The 21,846-nt window shown below is 39.9% G+C and overlaps 1 annotated feature.

Moving 5' to 3' along the window:
• Positions 13,580-14,079: an enhancer, noted in NCBI's record as "H3K27ac hESC enhancer chr19:57814007-57814506 (GRCh37/hg19 assembly coordinates)". NCBI's record gives its function as "activates a minimal SCP1, AML or CMV promoter by ChIP-STARR-seq in primed H9 embryonic stem cells {active_cell/tissue: H9 hESC(primed)}" and the evidence as "EXISTENCE:reporter gene assay evidence [ECO:0000049][PMID:30033119]".

Raw genomic sequence — 21,846 nt, 5'->3', positions numbered from 1 at the left:
AGAGACTGGGGGCCTATATTCAGCATTTTTAAATGAAAGAAATTTGAACCAAGAATTTAATATCCAACCAAACTAAACTTCATTAAGTGAAGGATAAATAAAATCTTTTTCAGACAAACAAATGTTAAGGGAATTCATTACTACCAGACCTGCCTTACAAGAAGTCCTTAAAACAGTGCTAAACCTAGAAGCAAAAGATGAGTATCTGCCACCACAGAAACAACTTGAGCACATATCCTGTTGATACTACAAACCAACTATACAATAAAGTCCACATAACAACCAGCTAACAACATAATGACAGGATCAAATCCTCACTTATCAATATTGACCTTGAATGTAAATAGGCTAAATGCCCCACTTAGAAGGCACAAGGTGGCAAGTTGGAAAAAGAAATGAAACCCAACTGTGTATTCTCTTCATTAGACACATCTCACATGCAATGACACCCATAGGCACAAAGTAAAAGGATGGAGAAAGATCAAGCAAATGGGAAAAAAAAGAGCAGGGATTGCTATTTCACACGAAACAGACTTTAGACCAACAATGATCAAAAAAGGCAAAGAAGGGCATCACATAGTGATAAAGGATTCAATTCAACAAGACTTAACTATCCCAAATATATATGCACCAAACACTGGAGCACCCATATTCATGAAACAAGTTCTTAGAGACCTACAACAAGACTTAGACAACCAGACAATAATAGCAGGAGACTTCAACACCCCACTGACAGTGTTAGATGCATCACCAAGGCAGAAAGCTAACAAAGGTATTTGGAAGCTAAACTGGACATTTGACCAAATAGACCTTACAGAAATCTACAGAATACTCTACCCAACAACCACAGAACATACATTCTTTTCATCTGCACATGTCACATATTCTAAGATCAATCACATACTTGGCCATAAAGCAATACTCAACAATTAAAAAAAAAGTCATACCAACCACACTCTCAGACCATAGCACAGTAGAAACAGAAATCAATACCTAGAAGAACTCTCAAAACCATACAATTACATGGAAATTAAACAATCTTCTCCTGAATGTGTTTTAGGTAAAGAATGAAATCAAGACAAATAAAAAAATTCCTTGAAACTAATTAAAACAGAGATACAACATACCAGAATCTTTGGGACACAGCTAAAGCAGTGTTGAAAGTTTATAGTGCAAAATGCCTACACCAAGAAGTTAGATAAATCTCAAGTTAACAAAATAACATCACACCTAGAGGAACTAAAAGAAAAAAAAAACAACCCCAAAAGAAAGAAAAGCAGCAGAGAAAAATAACCAATATCAGAGTTGAACTGAATAAAACTGAGATGTGAAAATCTACACAAAGATCATAAAACCGTAAGTTGGTTTTTCAAAAGAATAAACAACACTGGTAGCCCACTAGCTAGATTAATAAGGAAAAAAGAAGATGCAAAAAAACGCAATCAGAAATGTTAAAGGTGACATTACCACCTACCCCACAGAAGTACAAAATTCTCTCAGAGACTATTAAGAACTAAAAACTTAGCACACAAACTAAAAAACCTAGAAGAAATGGATACATTCCTTGAAACATACAACCTCCTAAGATTGAACCAGGAAGAAATTGAAATCCTGAACAGACCAGTAATGAGTTCTGAAATTGAATCAGTAATTAAAAAGCTACCAACCAGAAAAAGCCCTGGACCAGGTGGATTCACAGTTGTATTCTACCAGATGTAAAAAGACGTGGTACTAATCCTACTGAAATTATTCCCAAAAAATCAAGGAGGCGGGACTACTCCCTAACTTATTCTGTGAGGCCAGAGTCATCCTGATACCAAAACCTGGCAGAGGCAAAATGAAAAAAGAAAATGTTAGGCCAATATCCCTGATAAACATAAATGCAAAATTCTCAACAAAATACTAGTTAACTGAATCCAACAGCATATCAGAAAGCTAATCCACCACGATCACCACACTCAAGCAGGCTTTATATCTGGCATGCAAAGTTGGCTCAACATATGCAAATTAAGAAATGTGATTCATCACATAAACAGAACAAAAAAACAAAAACCACATGGTTATCTCAATAGATGCACAGAAGGCTTTCAATAAAATTTAACAACCCTTCCAACCCTCCACAAACTAGGCATTGAAGAAACAGACCTCAAAATAATAAGAGCCATCTATGGGCCAGGTGCAGTGTCTCACACCTATAATCCCAGCACTTTGGGAGGTGGAGACAAGCCTGGGCAACATAGCAAAACCCCGTTCCTACAAAATACACAAAAATTAGCCAGGTGTGATGGCATACACCTGTAGTCTCAGCTGCTCGAGAGGCTGAGGTGGGAGGCACTTGAGCTCAGGAGGGCAGAGGTTGCAGTGAGCTGTGATTGCATCACTGCACTCCAGCCTGGGTGACAGAGCAAGAACCTTGTCTCAAAGCAACAACAAAAGCCATCTATAACAAACTCACAGCTAAAATTATACCAGACAGGCAAAAGCCGGAAGCATTTTCCTTGGGAATCAGAACAAGACAACGATACTCACTCTTACCACTCCTATTCAAGATAGTACTGGAAGTCCTAGCCAGAGTAATCAGGCAAGAGAATGAAATAAAAGGCATCCAAATAGGAAGAGAGGAAGTCAAACTATCTCTCTTTGCAGAGGATATGATTCTATACTTAGAAAACCCCATAGTCTCTGCACAAAAGCTCCTAGAACTGATAACTTCAGTAAAGCTTTAGTATATAAAATCAATGTACAAAAATCAGCATTTCTATGTACCAATAATATACAGTGAATGTCCAGTCTGAGAGCCAAATCAAGAATGCAATCTCATACACAATAGTCAAGAAAAAGAATAAAATACCTAGTAATAAAGCTAGCCAGGGAGTGGAAAGATCTCTACAACAAGAATTACAAAACACTGCTGAAAGAAATCAGAGATGACCAAAACAAATGGAAAAACATTTCATGCTCATGGATAAAAAGAATCAATATTGTTAAAATAGCCATACTGCCCAAAGCAATTTATGGATTCAGTGCTATTTCATCAATCTGCCAATTTCATTTTTCACAGAATCAGAAAAAATATTCTAAAAATCACATGGAACCAAAAAACAGTCCAAATAGCCAAAGCAATCCTAAGCAAAAAGAACAAAGCTGGAGGCATCACAGTACCCAACTTCAAACTATACTTAAAGGCTACAGTGACCAAAACAGCATGATATTGATACAAAAACAGACATATAGACAACTAGAACAGAATAAAGAACCCAGAAATAAAGCCACATATCTCCAAACATCTGATCTTTGACAAAGTAAGCAATAACAAGCAATAGGGAAAGGACTCTCCTTCAATAAATGATGCTGGGATAACAGGTTAGCCATAGGCAGAAGACTGAAACTGGACCCCTTCCTTTCATCATATACAAAAATCAGTTCAAAATGGATTAAAGACTTAAATGTATGACCTAAATCTATAAAAAACCTTAGAAGAAACCTACAAAATATCATTCTGGACACAGGCCTTGGCAAAGGTTTCATGACAAAGTCTCTAAAAGCAATTGAAACAAAGGAAAAATAGACAGATGGGACCTAATTAAACTGAAGTGTACAGAGAAAGAAACCACCAACAGAGTAAACAGACAGCATACAGAATAGGAGAAAATATTCACAACCTGTGCATCTGACAAGGTCTAATATCCAGAATCTATAAGGAACTTAAGCAAAGTAACAAACAAAACAACAACCAATCTCATTTAAAAAATTGAGCCAAGGACATAAACAGACATTTCTCAAAAGAAGACATACATGTGGCCAACAAGCATATGAAAAAAAAGGTTCAACATCACTAATGATTAGAGAAATGTAAATCAAACCACAATGAGATGCCATCTCACATCAGTCAGAATGGTTGTTTTAAAGTCAAAAAGTAACAGATATTGGCAAGGTTGTGGAGAGAAGGGAATGCTTATACACTGCTGCTGGGAAAGTAAATTAGTGCAGCTATTCAGGAAGGCAGTTTGGATGTTTTTCAAAGAACTTAAAACAGACCTTCCATTTGACCCAGCAATCCCATTACTGGTTATGTACCCAAAGGAATAGAAATCGTTCTACCAAAAAGACACATGCACCTGTATGTTCATTGCAGCACTATCCACAATAGCAAAGACATGAATCAACCTAGATGCCCATCAACAGTGAAATGAATAAAGAAAGTGGTATGTATACACCATGGATTACTATGCAACCATAAAAAACATCATGTCCTTTGCAGCAGCATGGATGGAGCTGGAGGCTATTATCAGAAATGAATTAATGCAGGAACAGAAAACCAAATGCTGCATCTTCTCACTTATAAGTGGGAGGTAAACAATGAGAACACATAAACACAAAGATGGGAAAAATAGCTACCAGGGCCTACTTGATGGGAGAGTGTGGGAGAAGGGTAAGGGAAACACAAAAAACAAAAAAACTTTCTGTTGGGTGCTATGCTCACTACCTGGGTGACAAAATCATTTGTACATCAAACCCCAGTGATATGCAATTTACCCCTGTAACAAGCCTGCACATGGACCCCCTGAGCTTAAAATAAAAGTTGAAAATAAACCCACAAAACAAGGGAAAAAAGGTGAAAAATGAGAAATTGTCTATTGGGTACAATGTGAACTATTTGGGTGACAGTCACACTAAAAGCCCAGACTTCACCAATACATAATATATCCCTATAACAAAACTGCACTTGTACCCCCCAAATCTAAAAAGAAACAGTTTACTGAAAGACAGATAAAAAATAAACACATACCATATGATTACATTTATATAAAATTTCAGAAAATACTAACTAATGTATAGTGTCATTAAACAAATCAATGGTCACATGGGGATAAAGTATTGGAGAATAAGAGGAGATTAGTAAGGGGCATGAGGAAACTTTTGACATGTGTATACATGTCGAAATTTATCAAATTATACAATTTCAATATGTCTAGTTTATTGTATGCCAATTATATATCATTGATGTGTTAAGAAAAAAAAGTTTCCACATAAAAATCTGAATCAATCAATCCTGTATTTATTCAACTCTCTCCCTCTTCCCATATCTTGAGTCAGCCCTCCTTCAGTGGCAGCAAAAACTAGAAAGCAATGAAGGCCATCACTTCCCACATGCTGACTGGGTCACAAAAGATGCACGATCGACTCCAAGCTCTCTTTTGTCAGTCCTGGGGTTCCTGCCTGTTCAGTGATGACCAAAATGTCAACAGCCCAGGGAGGTACAGGAATTCACAAACTTTCAGATTGTTTGCTCTCACACCGGCCTCAGCCATAGGAGAAAAGGAGCTCAGCCGGTCGTGAGAATTTTTGTACACCCTCATCGCAGAGTCATAGTTACATTAAATTTGTGTATCCCCCTTTAGAGTACACACATAACTTCTAGTTTCCCAGTCTCCACTACTCCCTACTATCCAATGTTTCTGTATGTAGTGTTTCTGTATCTGTTTCCTGCTTAGCCCCTGTAGGTCTTACATGCCTACCAGATTTTAGATTTCAGGGGCAATGTCCTCTGCATAGAGGTCCTAGGAGACAGCCACCCCTCAACAGAATTGATGGAATATGACACATCCTCTGGGAAAAAGGGACTCAACTTATGCTGTTTCTAGAAGCACTGGAGGTTGTCACACCAACTACTCCCTCATGAGGGTGAGCTTAGGGCTCACAGAGATCCTGACATCCAGGTCACAAGATCAGTCTCACAATGCCCTACAGTTTTCCCTAAGAGACGTTGCGTAGCATTGCAAAACAGGCCAAACTAGACTTAGAGCTACTCTCTACCATCCTGCTGTCCACTCTGAGGCACATAAAGTTGGTGGTCCCTGCTAGCAAAGCCCTTCTTTTCTCAATCAGTCCCACACAATGAACAGAACAGATTGAAGGGTTAAACACTATGGCATTTATCTCTGCACAAATGAGAACATCATGAGGTGGGCATATCTAAGGTTGGTGGATTGGGAAGCTGGTTGGAGAAATCCATCTCAGCTACCATGTGGGGTCAACACTGTTTATTAAGGATGGGGACCTCTTGAAATCCACAGCAGGCCCCAGCTCAGATCTTTTAGGCTGCAGCTGGATAATATCCACGCTGAAACCACTAAGGGGAAATAGATGAGGACCCCATTTGTTTCTGATCACTCATGCAGTTGTAGGTAATCTCCACAGTGTGAATACACATATGTCTGAGGTTCAAATCCTGGCTTAGAGCTCCCTCTCAAAGGTTACTCTCAGAGATTTTCTCTTAGGATCATGCCATGTTAAACAATGAGCACATTCCATGAACTCTTAAGGCCTCTCTCCAGTGTAAATTTTCTGATGCCTAATGAGGTTAGGCCTTCACTGTATGCTTTCTTATATCTGCTACAAAAGGCCTTTCTCTGGTTGACTTTCATTTGCCAAGCAATGTGGGAATTTCTGCTTTCCCACATTTCCTGAACACACAAGATCTTGTTCCATTGTGAATTCTCTAACATGTTACAAGATAGTCCATTACTCCATTCTCACACTGCTATAAAGACATACCTGAGTCTGGGTAATTTATAAAGGAAAGAGGTTTAATTGACTTACAGTTCTGCATAGCTCGGGAGGCCTCAGGAAACTTAAAATCATGGCAGAAGGCAAGAGAGAAGCAAAGACACGTCTTACGTGGAGGCAGGTGAGAGAGAGCGAACGAGCGAACAGGAAAGAGCCCCTTATAAAACCATCAGATTGAGGGCTGGGCTCGGTGGCTCATGCCTGTAATGCTAGCACTTTGGGAGGCTGAGATGGGTGGATCACCTGAGGTCAAGAGTTCGAGACCAGCCTGGCCAACATGGCGAAACCCCGTCTCTACTAAAAATTCAAAAATTAGCTGAGCCTGGTGGCGCACACCTGTAGTCCCAGCTACTTGGGAGGCTGAGGCAGGAGAGTCACTTGAACTCAGGAGGCGGAGGTTGCAGTGAGCCAAGATCATGCCACTGCACTCCAGCCTGGCCAACAGAGCAAGATTCCGTTTCAAACAAACAAACAAAAAACCCCTTAGATCTTGTGAGAACTCACTATAGGAGAAGAGCATGGGGGAAACTGCCCCCATGATCTAATCACCACCCACCAGGTCCTACCCTGGTCACTGGGGATTATGGGGATTACAATTCAAGATGAGATTTGGGTGGGGACACAAAGCCTAACCACGGTAAGAATTGTGGCTTTAGAATGTCTCACGTTCACCACACTGAGAAGATATTTTTCCATTGTGGACTTTCTGGTACTCAACAAATGTGTCTTTATAAAGAATTTGCCACATGATCTGCACTCATAAGGTCTTCTCCACTATGAATTCTCTGGTGCTAAACAGGATGAGGTCTAGTGATAGAGGCTTTCTCACATTCAGCACTTTTTTTTTTTTTCTTTGAGACAGAGTCTCGCTCTGTTGCCCAGGCTGGAGAGCAGTGGCGTGATCTCGGCTCACTGCAACCTCTGCCTCCCAGGTTCAAGCAATTCTCCTGCCTCAGCCTCCCGAGTAGGTGGGACTAAAGGCGCGCACCACCACGCCCAGCTAATTTTTGTATTTTTTTACTAGAGACGGGGTTTCACTATGTTGGCCAGGCTGGTCTCGAACTCCTGACCTTGCGGTCCGCCTGCCTCAGCCTCCCAAAGTGCTGGGATTACAGGTGTGAACCACCATGCCTGGCCAACACACTCTTAAAGCCTTGATCCTGTGTGAACTATTTGGTGTATATGGAGATTAGAGCTGGAGCCAAATAATTTCCCATAATCACTGCACTCATAAGGCACAGCTTTGCTGTGAATTCTCTTGGGTAACTATAGAATAGTAGCTGTTATTAAAGGTATGCCAGCACTGACTGCACTCATAAGGGTTTACTCCAGCATGGATTTTCTGATACTGAAAAAGTATGTATTTGCAGCAAAAGGCTTTCCCACAATTGCTGTACTTGGAATCCCTTTGTCCAGTGTGAAAAGCCTCCCCACTCTCATTGCTCCTGTGTGGCTCTTCCCCATTGAAAGAGGCCTGATGCTGCACAAGTTGAGAGCTGACCAAGAGGTATTTCCCACCCTCCTTGCAAGTGAAGACCTTCTGTGACATGTGGGTAAGCATCTAACCAGTTCATGGCACAATCCATCCATTTGTTCACCAGATATATAATTTATTATGTTGCTTATGCATTGTACACTGTAACTCCATTATTCCAGCAACTCAAAACCCCATCCAATCACTTGGTTCATCTCACTGTTACAATCTCTAGGGTGTGTTGTCCTTTGCATCAGATTCGAATACTGTTCCTATAGCACAGGAAAACTATAAACACAATATATAATTGTATCCATTCACATCCAGTATACAGGAGGCCAGGGACACAGTGGAATGACATGGTCAAATTGCTGAAGAAATAACTACCAACCCAGATTTCTATCCACAACAATAGTATTTTTCAGGAAGAGCACAATATAAGATTATATCTGGTCAAAAATTGGAAATTTAGTAGAAAAGTAACCCTAAAAGTTATCCTTAAGGCCAAAGGAAAGTGATTACAGGTGAAAGTTCTGCAGTGGTAGAAGGAATGAGAATCCAAGAGATGGATGCATCTGCAGATCAATACAATTACTTATTATCTCTATACAACATGAACAATATCTTCTAATTGAGCAGAATAATAGATATGCTATACTCCAATACCAACACTCAATGACATCCTTTGATGTGTTCAAGAGAAGGGTAAAGGTATTAACAATTCTATAATAGGTTAGAGAAGTGTTACAATTCTTATCTTAGACTAATGAATAAAATGAGTATATACATTTCAAACTAAAAGAAAATTAAGATTATTAAAACCTATATATTTTTAAAAGAAAGCACAAAAAACAGCCTAGAAGAAAACCACAAAATAAGATGCATTTAAAACCAAATATATTAGCTATCACATGAATTGAATACAGAATGCGTGAATAGTAATTTCTAATGGATTAAAATAATCCAGTAGTAGTTCATAAATTACACATCTAAGATATAATGTCATAGAAATATATGAAATAGAAGAATGAAATATGTATACTTATAATTACTAAACACAAACACACAAAAATGTGTATTTGCATCTGACAAGTAGGAATAAGGAAGAAAACACCAGTAAAATATACTTTACAGTTTATACACTTTTAAAAATTTTAATATTACTTTTTATAAAGATGAGAGTTTCACTATGTTGCCCAGGCTGATCTCAAATTCCTGGCCTCTGGCAATCCTCCTGCATAGGACTTCCAAAATGCTGGGATTATAGGAGTGAGCCACTGCACCCGGCCTGTATACAATTTTTACCATCAATTCAAATTACATTAAAAAAATTTAGTATAATGAGAGTAAAGAATTAAATATACAGACAAACCAGGATATTTTAATATTAGCTATCTCAGTAATGATTTCAAGAAGGCAGGTATAACATTGGTGAGGTTCTATTAGATTCATACACCATAATGGACAAATCTGGACTGACAGATACATACAGAACAGCAGATATCAGTTGCCGAATGTTTTCTTTTAGCACAAACTGAGTATTTAAAAAACTGACAATATGTAGTATCAGAAAAAATCTTTAACTTTCATAGAATAAAAGAGAGAATACAATCAGTGTAGAGATCAACAAAAGATACCTCAAACTCCTGGCCTCAAGTGATCCTCTTGCCTCAGCCTCCCAAAATGTTGAGATTACAGGCTTGAGCCATCATGCCCAGCCTAGATACCTGATTTCTTTTTAATTATGCTTGAAATTCAAATTACAAAATACTAAGTAACCCATGCATAGAGGAAACAAAAATTGAAGATTATTTTATTTGTAAAATAATGACAATACCAATTTCATAGGACTTTTTATTAGTAGTATCATAGGCAGTCTTCTGACAAATTAGGAAAAGTAGATAGGGTCTGTCCTTAGAGTAGTGGCTTGGGCTGATTACCTAACTTCTCTGCACCTCAGCACTGTCATCATTACATTGAAGGGGTCCCTACGGTGCCTTAAAGTGCTCAAGCTCTATTATTCACCACACTATTTTGTCATTTTTAAATTATCATAGGATATTCAACCTGAAGTTTTACTTTACCTGCCCACGTCATCTCTACATATTCTCATGAGATGCAGTTCATGAATTCTAAAGCAGTATCATTTAATGTATTATTTTAAAAAGATATTTAGAAAGGTATATTCATTTCAAACATCTTTAAGAATAACAGTATATCCACTTAATACCAAAAAGCATCTCTACAGCATTATTTCATTTATATCAATTTTTAAATCAGCCAAAAATGCAAAGCTACTATTAGTAATATACATTTAAGGTGTCGAACTATGAAGAAAGTAAAATGAGTAAGGCAAAATTCTGGATGGCGGCATCCTCTGAAGGTGGAGGATGGAATTGGCAATCTGGCAGGCTCATGCCGGGCATGCTGATTTTGTTCTATTATATAATCAAGGGGCAGGGTTGAGTGTATTAGTTTATTATATTTATCATGTTTTCCCATTTTTTATTCATGTATAAGTAAAGATTAAGTGGACAAATCTTAATAGCCTGAAGACTGTCTACATGTGTTTCCCATGTAATTCCTAGTAATGCAAAGAGAGAGAACATTCCCAATAGCTTCTCAGGCACAAATTTGCCCTCTCAGTTAATACTGCATAAATGTGACCATTATCTTGTCTTTTATCATCATGTATGATGTTTGGTTATGAACTTAACAACATAATTCTACAGTATTTCCTACTGTGTATCTGGTATGCCACTGCCACTCAAGGTTTCTTTGAGAGGGAGACTATATATTTGTTACTATTATTAATGAATCTATTTCCATGACTGCTGTGAAAAACCCAGGCTGAGTTAACAGTGATGAGCTCTGGCCAGGCACAGTGGCTCACGCCTGTAATCCAACACTTTGGAAGGCTGAGGCAGGAGGATCACTTGAGCCCAGGAGTTCAAGACCAGGCTGGGGAACATAGGGAGACCTCATCTCTAGAAACTCACAGGTGGCATGCGCCTGTGGTCTCAGCTACTAGGGAGGTTGAGGCAGGAGGACTGCTTAGGCCAGGAGGATAAGGCTACAGTGAGCTATGACTGCACAACTGCACTCCAGCCTGGGGGATAGAGCAAGACCCCATCTCAAAAAAAAAAAAAAGAAAAAGCCTCAAGCATGTCAGTTCAAAAAAAATTTTTTTTTAAGTGATGAGTTCTGGAGGTAAATACACCCACTCTGGATTTTCTGGTTACAATCACTACCTTTTCTCTCAACCTCAGCTAGAAATCCAGACTCATGAGGCCTCAATCCCTGACCTTTCATTCCTTGCAAATGCCAAAGCCAACTATGTAGGAAACTTTTTCAGAGAAGAAAACTCTGTCCTCCCAGAAGATAAATTTTCCACTTTGCTCTACGAGGCAGAGAGCAACCTCAAACCACAAACAGGTTGGGACTTGAACAGGCCTGAACTCAAGTATTCTTTCCTGGGAAATTCATCCATCTTGTTGGATAAAAGCAGCAGTTTTAATCAGTGTGTTTTCATCCATTTACTTACTGTTTCACAGTTTACTTAAACATCTTACAAATGACTGTCAATTGAACTATTTACAGTTGTTATTATAAAAGTTTTTTTTTTTTTTTCTTGAGACATAGCCTTCACTCTGTCGCCCAGGCTGGAGTGCAGTGGGGTGATCTCGGCTCACTGCAAGCTCTGCCTCCCGGGTTCATGCCATTCTCCTGTCTCAGCCTCCCGAGTAGCTGGGACTACAGGCGCCTGCCACCACGTCTGGCTAATTTTTTGTATTTTTTTAGTAGCGACAGGGTTTCACCGTGTTAGCCAGATGGTCTTGATCTCCTAGCCTTGTGATCCACCCGCCTCGGCCTCCCAAAGTGCTGGGATTACCGCGCCCGGCCGAAAGTGTTTTAAATCTTTGTATACATGTATTTTGGTGTAAGAAAGCACTCAATCCTAATGAGTATGCCCCAACATGACTTGTTTGGTTATAAAATATAAGTATGTTTAAATTTAATGTGAAACCCTTAAGTAACAACATATATAAACATTAACTCAAACAGATGTCAAAGCTTTGCAACACTGAGTTACACAAAGCCTAATTAGGTAGACAAGGATGGGAGGCTGAGGTGGGAGGATCACTTGAGTTCAGGAGATCAAGACCAGCCTGGGCAACGTAGTGAGACCCCCATATCTATAAAACAACAACAACAAAAATAGGATAACAAAGAACACAAACAACCGAAATATTTTGGATTACATCAAAATTTAAAACTATTCTTCAGGATACACTGCTAAGATAACAAAAAGAAACCAAATACAGATAAATGGTTTGCAAAACATGTATCTGACAAATAACTAGCATTCAGAATATTAAAAGATACAATGAATTCTTAAAATTCAATGTTAAGAAGAAAAAACAATTTAAAGTGGGACAAAAGATTTGGACAGATAGGGTCTGGTGCAGTGGCTCACGCCTGTAATCCCAGCACTTTGGGAGGCTGAGGTGGGCGGATCACCTGAGGTCAGGAGTTCAAGACCAGCCTGGCCAACATGGTGAAACCCCATCTCTACAAAAAATAAAAAAATTAGCTGGGCGTTGTGGTGGGGGCCTGTAATCCCAGCTACTTGGGAGGCTGAGGCAGGAGAACTGCTTGAACCTGGGAGACGGAGGTTGTGGTGAGCTGAGATCTCACCATTGCACTCCAGCCTGGGCAACAAGAACGAAACTCCGTCTCAAGAAAAAAAAAAAAAAGATTTGGAAAGATAACTAAAGATATATGAACAATGAACATATGAAAAAATGCTCAATACCAGTAGTCATTTCAGCAATGAAATTTAAATCCACAATGAGACACCTCTACACATCTGTTAAATTGAAAAACTTAAAGTGTAACAAAACCAAGTGCTCAAAAAGATGTAGGACTGGAGCTCCCACAAAATACTGGTGAGAAATCAAAATGGTACAGCCATTTTGGAAAACAACTTGGCAGTTTCCTATACAGGTAAATATACACATATCATATGACACAGCAATTCTACTCCTAGTTATTTACAGAATACAAACGAAAATGTTTCCAACCAAATATCTGTAGCAAGAGAGTGACTTCAGCAAGAAGGCAGATTAGCAGTCCGTAAATGCTGTTCTCCCCACCCCCACAGAGCCAAAATAAATAAGCAAATACATTTTAATGCAAATAACTAAAGGAAAGCACCAGAATATGTCAAAGTAATAACAAAAACTCTGGTGAGCACAGAAACTCAGGATAGCCAAGCAGAGAATGGAACACCTGGTCTCCACAACCCCATCCCCCAGCCAAGATCAGCTGAAAACCAGAAGGAATTTCTCCGTATGTGGAAAAAGTGAGCAATAGCATACCAGCAGCGTACATCACCACCTTGGACACCTACAGTACTCACCACTGGGGTCCCCTACAGCCCTCACAGGCACTAAGCTTAGCTGACGGACCCGCCTGGAGTCCATACAGCTGTGCTCCTGAGGAAGGAGCTGACACTGTCCTGCCCCCAGTGGCCCATACAGCTACTGTGCTGTTATTTTGGAACGGCTGGAGTTCTGTCTGGTTCCATGGCACCTCTTCATCCCTGAGGATAAGCCATCACCATCCACCCCCACCTGGTGGCCCAACATCTACAAGCAGCTTTTCCACCTTCCCATGTAGGGCCATGCAGTGGGAGAGCTGCACCACCTACCCCTCAAGTCCCTATGCTAGGCTGTGTCCTGTCACCTTCGACTAGAGCTGAAGCTGTGCACTCCCTCCTGGGAAAACAATGCTCTGGCAGATGTGCAACATCCACCTCTCACTGTCTACCTCTCAGTCTACTTCTCCCAAAACTGCCCTGCTTCCAGGGACCTGAGCTGAAGCTGCACATTGCCTCCTGAGGAAAGGATGCCTTGGCGAAGCTCCTCCACCTACCCCTCCCAGATGCTGCTACATCCTGCCCCTCTAGGCCAGAGCTGAAGCAATGCCAGGCATCCTGGGAAAACAGTGCATTAACCATCCAGAGCAGTCACACCCCTCTGTACCTGAGCTGAAGCAGTACCTTGTCTCCTGGGAAAACAGTACTTTGGCCATCGAGAGCAGTCATGCCTCCCCAGTGCCTAAGTTTAAGCAGCACCCTACCTACCACCCTGCCTTCCAGGTAACAGTGTCTTGGCCATCCCAAGCAGACACACAGTCCAGTACCTAATCTGAAGCAGCTTCCTGCATCCCAGGAAAATGGTGCCTGGGCCAACCTAAGGTCACACACCCTAGACCTGAGCTGACGAGGCACATTACCCTCTGGGGATGCAGTGCCTTGCCTGAACTGAGTAGCTATGCAATACTGGGCTGAGCTGGCATGGGCCTTCACATTCCAGGGAAACAAAGCAGGGCATGAGATGAGACACCCCACACTACAGGCCAAACAACTCTAGTACTCACTTTAGGGAGCTAGCTGGATAACCAGCTGCCAGGGGGCAGGACTAACACCCTGAAGTATGGGCTGCTGAGACAGCTTTCTCCCTGGGGAGCTGAGTCATCACTGGGCTGCTCCCTATTGCCCAAGGCCCAAACAAAAACTGTGCTATGCCAGAAACCCAAGTTGCCAATGAGCCTGAATGGTTCAGGTTACCAAACTGCAGCTGTATTCTGTTTCCTTGGCCCAATACTCCAAAGCACCACTTCTTCCCTAGAGTTGGGCCTGTGCTGTGCCTGGCCGCCCAGAAACAAAAAGCTACAACCTGGCCCTTTGGGCCCAAGCTGCTAGGGAGTACATCAGAGTTACAGATCTTGGCTCTGTGGTAAACCTACCTCCAATTCTACCACATGGAGCAAATCTATAGCTCAAAACCCAGGTGCCACAATAGGTTCATCAGATGCTGAGCCTAGAACCCCAGACCCACAGCTGCCCTGAGCACCTGCACCTGGAACCCAGAGCCACTGTACCTGCCTATAGGCCATATCATACTTGACAGCAAGAAGTATCTTCATGGCTAAGTAACTTCATTGTGGGGCAAATGAAAATAGGAGGACTCCAAAAAAGCCCTTGCCATTAACAACCTATGCCATTACTGCTACAAACTTTTACAACCTAGGCCACTGAGGAAAACAAAGTTACTGCCAACATTAAATACTGTTGATAAAGCTGAACAAAGACTATACCATTTCACTTATCTGGAAACAGAGTTACTACACCCTTCTCAACTAGCACACTAAGGACCAAGTGCAGGTGAAAGCCTCTATGAAAGTGACTGTAGAAAAATGGGAAGACGCCATTGTTTCACCAGATGCACAGACATCAATGCAGGGACAATAGAAACATGAAAAGGCAAGGAAATGTGTCACCATGAAAGGAACACAATAACTTTCCGTTAACAAGCTAGAAGGAAATCTACCAATTACCAAAAAAGTAATTCAAAATAATGATCTTTTAAAAACTCAACAAGGCCAGGTGCAGTGACTCACACCTGTAATTCCAGCACTTTAGGACACCAAGGTGGGCGAGTCACTTGAGGTCAGGAGTTCAAGACCCGCCTGGCCAACATGGTGAAACCCTGTCTCTACTAAAAATACAAAAATTAACTGGGTGTGGTGGTGCACACCTGTAGTCCCAGCTACTTGGGAGGCTGAGGCAGGAGAATCACTTGAACTTGGAAGGCAAAGATTGTTGTGAGCCAAGATCACGCCACTGCACTCCAGCCTAGGTGACAGAGTGACACTCTGTCTCACAAACAAACAAACAAACAAAAAACCCTCAATAGGATACAAGATAATACAGAAAGATAATTCAATAAAATCAGAAAAACAATTCATAACATGAAAGAGAAATTTAAGAAAGAAATATTTTAAAATCACCAAACAGGAATCCTGCAGCTGAAGAATTTAATGTATAAAATATAAGGTACAATAGAGAGCATCAATAGCAAACTTACTCAAGCAAAGAAAGATAAAGAGTTTGTTTGGAATTACCAGTGAGAGAAGAATAAATAAGAATGACAAGGAGTGAAGAAAGCCTACCAGACTTATTAGATAACATCAAGGGAAAAAAATTTCATATTTTTAGAGTTCCAGAAGGCAAAGAGATGACAAAAGGCATAGAAAATATATTTAACAGGTCGGGTGCGGTGGCTCACACCTGTAATCCTAGCACTTTGGGAGGCTGAGGTGGGTGGATCACCTGAGGTCAGGAATTTGAGACCAGCTTGGGCAACATGGCGAAACCCCGTCTCTACCAAAAATACAAAAAATTAGCCAGGCATGGTGGTGGGTGCCTGTAATCCCAGCTACTCGGGAGGCTGAGGCAGGAGAATCACTTGAACCTGAGAGGCAGAGGTTGCAGTGAACCAAGATTGCACCGTTGCACTCCAGCCTGGGCAAGAAGGGTGAAAATGCCGTCTCAAAAAAAAAAGAAAAAAAGAAAAAAATATATATTTAATACAACTTTTTAAATAAAACAGGCCAGGCGTGGTGGCTCACGCCTGTAATCCCAGCACTTTGGGAGGCCAAGGCAGGTGGATCATGAGGTTAGGAGTTCAAGACCAGTCTGGCCAACATGGCGAAACCCCGTCTCTACTAAAAGTACGAAAAATTAGCTGGGTGTGGTGGTGTGCACCTGTAATCCCAGCTATTTGGGAGGCTGAGGCCAGAGAATCGCATGAACCCAGGAGGCGGAGGGTGCAGTAAGCCAAGACTGCGTCATTGCACTCCAGCCCGGGCGACAGTGCGAGACTCTGTCTCAAAAAAAAAAAAATTAAAAAAATAAAACATATTTAATGAAATTATAGCTGCTAAGGAGATCACAGCAAGATTAAAAATAAAAGAAAACGAAAAAGACAATGAAATAATAGCTAAAAACCTCCCAAGTCTTGCGAGAGATATGGACATTCAGATCCAGGAAGCTCAAAGATCCCCAAAAAGGTCACCTCCAAGGCACATTATATTTGAACTGACAAAAGTCAAAGACAAAGAGAAAAATCCAAAAGTACCAGTAGAAAAGCATCAAGTCATATATAAGGGAATCTTCATTAGAATAACAGCAGAAACCTCACAGGCCAGGAAAAAATGGGATGATATATCCAAATTTCTGAAAGAAAAGAAAAAATATCGGTCAAAAATACTATGCACAGCAAACCAATCCATCAGAAATTAGGTAGAAATAGCCAGCCACAGTGGCTCATGCCTATAATCCCAGTATTTTAGGATGCTGAGGCAGGCGAATTACTTGAGGTCAGGAGTTCAAGACCAGCCTGGCCAACATGGTGAAACCCCATCTCTACAAAAATACAAAAATTAACCAGGCATGGTGGCATGCGCCTGTAATCCCAGCTGCTCCAGAGGCTGAGACAGGAGAATCGCTTGAACCTGGGAGGTGGAGGCTGCAGTGAGCCAAGATCATGCCACTGCACTCCAGCATGGGCAAGAGAGTGAAACTCCACTTAAAAAAAAAAAAGAAAGAGAAAAATTAGGTAGAAATAAAGTGTGTCTCAGGCAAGCAAAAATTAAGGGAATTTATCACCACTACACCAGCCTTTCAAGAAATGATCAAGGGAATGCTATATCGGGAAATAAGAAGACAATAATCACCATTATGTAACCACATAAAAGTATAAGACTCACTGGTAGAGCAGATAGGCAAAGAAAAAAGAGAAAAAAAAAATCAAATCTTATCACTACAGAAAACCACCAAAATACAATGATAAAAAATAAGAGATGAAGAAAAGAACAAAGGATATACAAAACATTCTGAAAACCACAAAATGAAAGGAGTCTTCACTTAAAAATAATAACCTTGAGGTAAACAGATTAAATTCCTACCTTAAAAGATATATACTAAATGGGTTTTTAAAATGACCCAACTATATGCTACCTATAAGAAACTCACTTCACCTCTAAAGACACAAATATGGCCAGGCGCAGTGACTCACACCTGTAATCCCAGCACTTTGGGAGGCTGAGGCGGGTGGATCACCTGAGGTCAGTTCGAGACCAGCCTGGCCAACATAGTGAAACCCCATCTCTACTAAAAATACAAAAATTAGCCGGGTGTGGTGGCGCACACCTGTAGTCCCAGCTACTCGGGAGGGTGAGGCAGGAGAAATGCTTAAACCCAGGAGTCAGAGGTTGCAGTGAGCCAAGATAGCACCACTGCACTCCAGCCTGGGTGACAGAGCGAGACTATGTCTGGAAAAAAAAAAAAAAAAAAAAGACACAGACTGAAAGCGAAGGAATAGAATATATTCCATGCAAATGGAAACCAAAAGCAAGCAGGAGTAGCTATACATTTTTTTTCTTTTTTCTTTTCTTTTTTTTTTTTTTTTACCACAATCATGACTATATAAGGAGTAGCTATACTTACGATAAGAGACTTTGTATCAAACACAGTAGGGATGAAATCAGGAAGAGGATACAAAAATTGTAAATATATATGCACCCAATATCAGAGCACCCAGATATGTAAGGCAAATATTATTAGATCTAAAGGGGAAGACAATACAATAATACAATAATACTTGTGGACTTCAACACCCTACTTTCAGCAATGGACAGATCATATACATAGAAAATCAACAAAGAAACACCAAGTTTAAACTGACTTTAGACCAAATGGACTTAAAAGACACTAACAGATCTTTTCATCCAACAGCTACAGAATACATATTTTTTTTCATAAGCACATGCAATATTTTCAAGGAGAGGCCACATGTTAAACCACAAAACAAATCACAAAAATTAAAAGAATTAAAATCACATCAAGTACCTTTCTGACCACAATGAAATAAACCTAGAAATCAATAACAAGAGGAACTTTTAAAGCAGCACAAATAAATGGAAATTAAATAACATGATTCTGAATGACCAATGGGTAATGAAGAAATTAAGAAACAAAATTTAAATGTCTTAAAATGAGTGAAAACAGAAACACAACATATAAAAATGTATGGGATGCAGCAAGAGCAGTTTTAAGAGGGAAGTATTTAGTAATAAACACCTACATCAAAAACAAGAAAGATCTGGCTGGGCATGGTGGCTCACACCTGTAATCCCAGTGCTTTGGGAGCGCAAGGCAGGAGGACGACTTGATGCTGGGTCAAGACCAGCCTGGGCCATATATATAGCAAGACCTTATCTCTAAAAAAAAAAAAAAAAAAAAAAAAAAAAAAAAAAAAAAGATTAGCTGGTCATGATAGCGCATACCAGTAGTCCTAGCTATTCTGGAGGCAGAGGTGGGAGAACTGCTTGAGCCCAAGAATTCAAAACTGAGGTGTGAGGATCACTTGAGCCCAGGAGTTTGAGTTGATTGTACCATTACACTCCAGCCTACGTAACACAGTAAGACCCTGTCTCTTAAAAAAAGAAAAAAAGAAAAAAGAAAAATCTAACAATGCTTCTCAAGGAACTAGAAAAGAACACATCAGACCCAAAATTACAAGGAAAGAATTAATAAAGATCAGAAGAGTAATAAATAAAACTGAGACTTAAAAAAAAATTCAAAGGATCAACAAAATGAAAAGTTCATTTTTTGAAAAGAAACCATTAGACTAACCAAGAGAAAAGACTCAAAATCAAACACATACAAAAATGACACTGCAACTGATACCACAAAAATACAGAGTCATTAGAGACTATTATGAACAACTACAAACCAAAAAGTTGGAAAACCTACAGAAAATAAATTCCTAGACACATACAACCCATCAGGATTGAACCTAGAAGAAACAGAAAATTTCAATTGACCAATTCTGAGTAACAAGATTTAAGCAGTAATAAAAAGTCACCCATCAAAGGAAAGTCCATGATCTCATGGCTTCACTGCTGAATTCTACCAAACATTTTAGGGGAATTAAATATGAATTCTTCTCAAACTTTCCCAGAATAATGAAGAGGAGGGAATTATTCTAAACTCACTCCACAAGCCAGCATTACCATGACACAAGCACCAGATAAGGACACACACATGCAAAAGAAAACTACAGGCCAATATTCCTGATGAACATAAATGCAAAACTCCTCAACAAAATACTAGCCAACCAAATCCAAAAGTACATCAAAAAGATTGTTTACCATGACCAAGTGGAATTCATTCTAGGGATGCAAGAATGGGTTCAACATACACAAAACAATAAACATGATAAATCAACAGAATGAAGAACAAAAAATGTGATTATCTCCATAGGTGGAGAAAAAGCCTCTGGTAACATTCAATATCCCCTCATGATGAAAACTCTTAACAAATTACACATAATAATAGAAAGAATGGGCCGGCCGCGGTGGCTTACACCTGTAATCCCAGCACTTTGGGAGGCCGAGGCGGGCGGATCACGAGGTCAGGAGATCAAGATCATCCTGGCTAACATGGTGAAAACCCATCTCTACTAAAAATACAAAAAATTAGCCAGGCATGGTGGTGGGCACCTGTAGTTCCAGCTACTTGGGAGGCTGAGGCAGGAGAATGGTGTGAACCCAGAAGGCGGAGCTTGCAGTGAGCTGAGATCATGCCACTGCACTCCAGCTGGGCGACAGAGCGAGACTCCATCTCAAAAAAAAAATTAAAAAAAATTATAATAATAATAGAAAGAACGTACCTCAACATAATAAAGGTAATAAGTAACATACCCACAGCTAACATCATGCATAATGGGAAAGTGCTGAAAGCTTTCTCTCTATAATCTGAAACAAAACAAGTATGCCCACTTTCACACCTTTTAACAAAGTACAAAAGGTCTGAGACAGAGTAATCAGGCAAGACAAAGAAATAAAGGGCATGCAGATCAGGAAGCATGAAGTCAAATTATCCCTGTATGCACATGACAGGATCAAATATATAGAAAACCCTAAACTCCAAAAGTGGCACCAAAAAAATCTTAGGACTGATAAATTCACTGAACTTGCAGGATATAAAATCAACATGCAAAAATCAGCAGCATTTCTATACACCAACAATGAATTAGCTGAAAAAGAAATCAAGAAAGCCATCCCATTTACAATACTTCAACAAAAATAAAATAAGAATACATGGAAAACTATATAACACTGATGAAGTAAATCAAAGAGGACACACATAAAAAAGGAAAAACATCCCATGGTCATGGATTAGAATGGTTACTATAAAAATGAACATACTTTCCTGTAAGAGATAGCTTATGAAAAAAAATGAACATACTACCTCAAGTGATCTACAGATTCAATGCACTCTTAACAAAATACCAATGACATTTTTCACAGAAATAGAAATAGTAATCCTAAAATTCATGATATCACAGAAGATACTGAATATCCAAAGCAATCCTAAGCAAAAAGAACAAAATGGGAGTCATCACACTACCTGACCTTGAAATATACTACAAAGTGATGGTAACCAAAACAGCATGGTTCAGGTATTTTTTAAAAACCACACAAACCAATGGAACAAAACAGAGAGCCCAGGAATAAATCCCATTTACAGCCAACTGATTTCTAACAAAGGCACAAAGAACATTCACTGGGAAAAGGACAGTCTCTTCAATAAATGGTGCTGGGACACTGGATATTCATATGCAGAAGAATGAAAGTAGACTCATCTCTCACCATACACAAAAATCAACTCAAAACACCAAGTATGCTGGCTCATACCTGTAATCTTAGCTACTCAGAAGGCTGAGTTGTGGCTCACTTGAGTCCAGGAGTTCAGGACCAAGCTGGGCAATGTGGTGAGACTATGTCTCTAAAAAATAATTAAAAAGCAAAAACAAAAATTGGGAATGTATTTTTAGGGCAATTTGAATCTATGCTCTCAGGATAATCAACTCAAAATGGTTTGAAAG

This window comes from Homo sapiens, chromosome 19 (assembly GCF_000001405.40).
Source record: "Homo sapiens chromosome 19, GRCh38.p14 Primary Assembly".
Lineage (NCBI taxonomy): Eukaryota > Metazoa > Chordata > Mammalia > Primates > Hominidae > Homo > Homo sapiens.
Note: the sequence above shows the minus strand (reverse complement) of the source record. Positions and strands in the feature narration are given on the sequence as shown.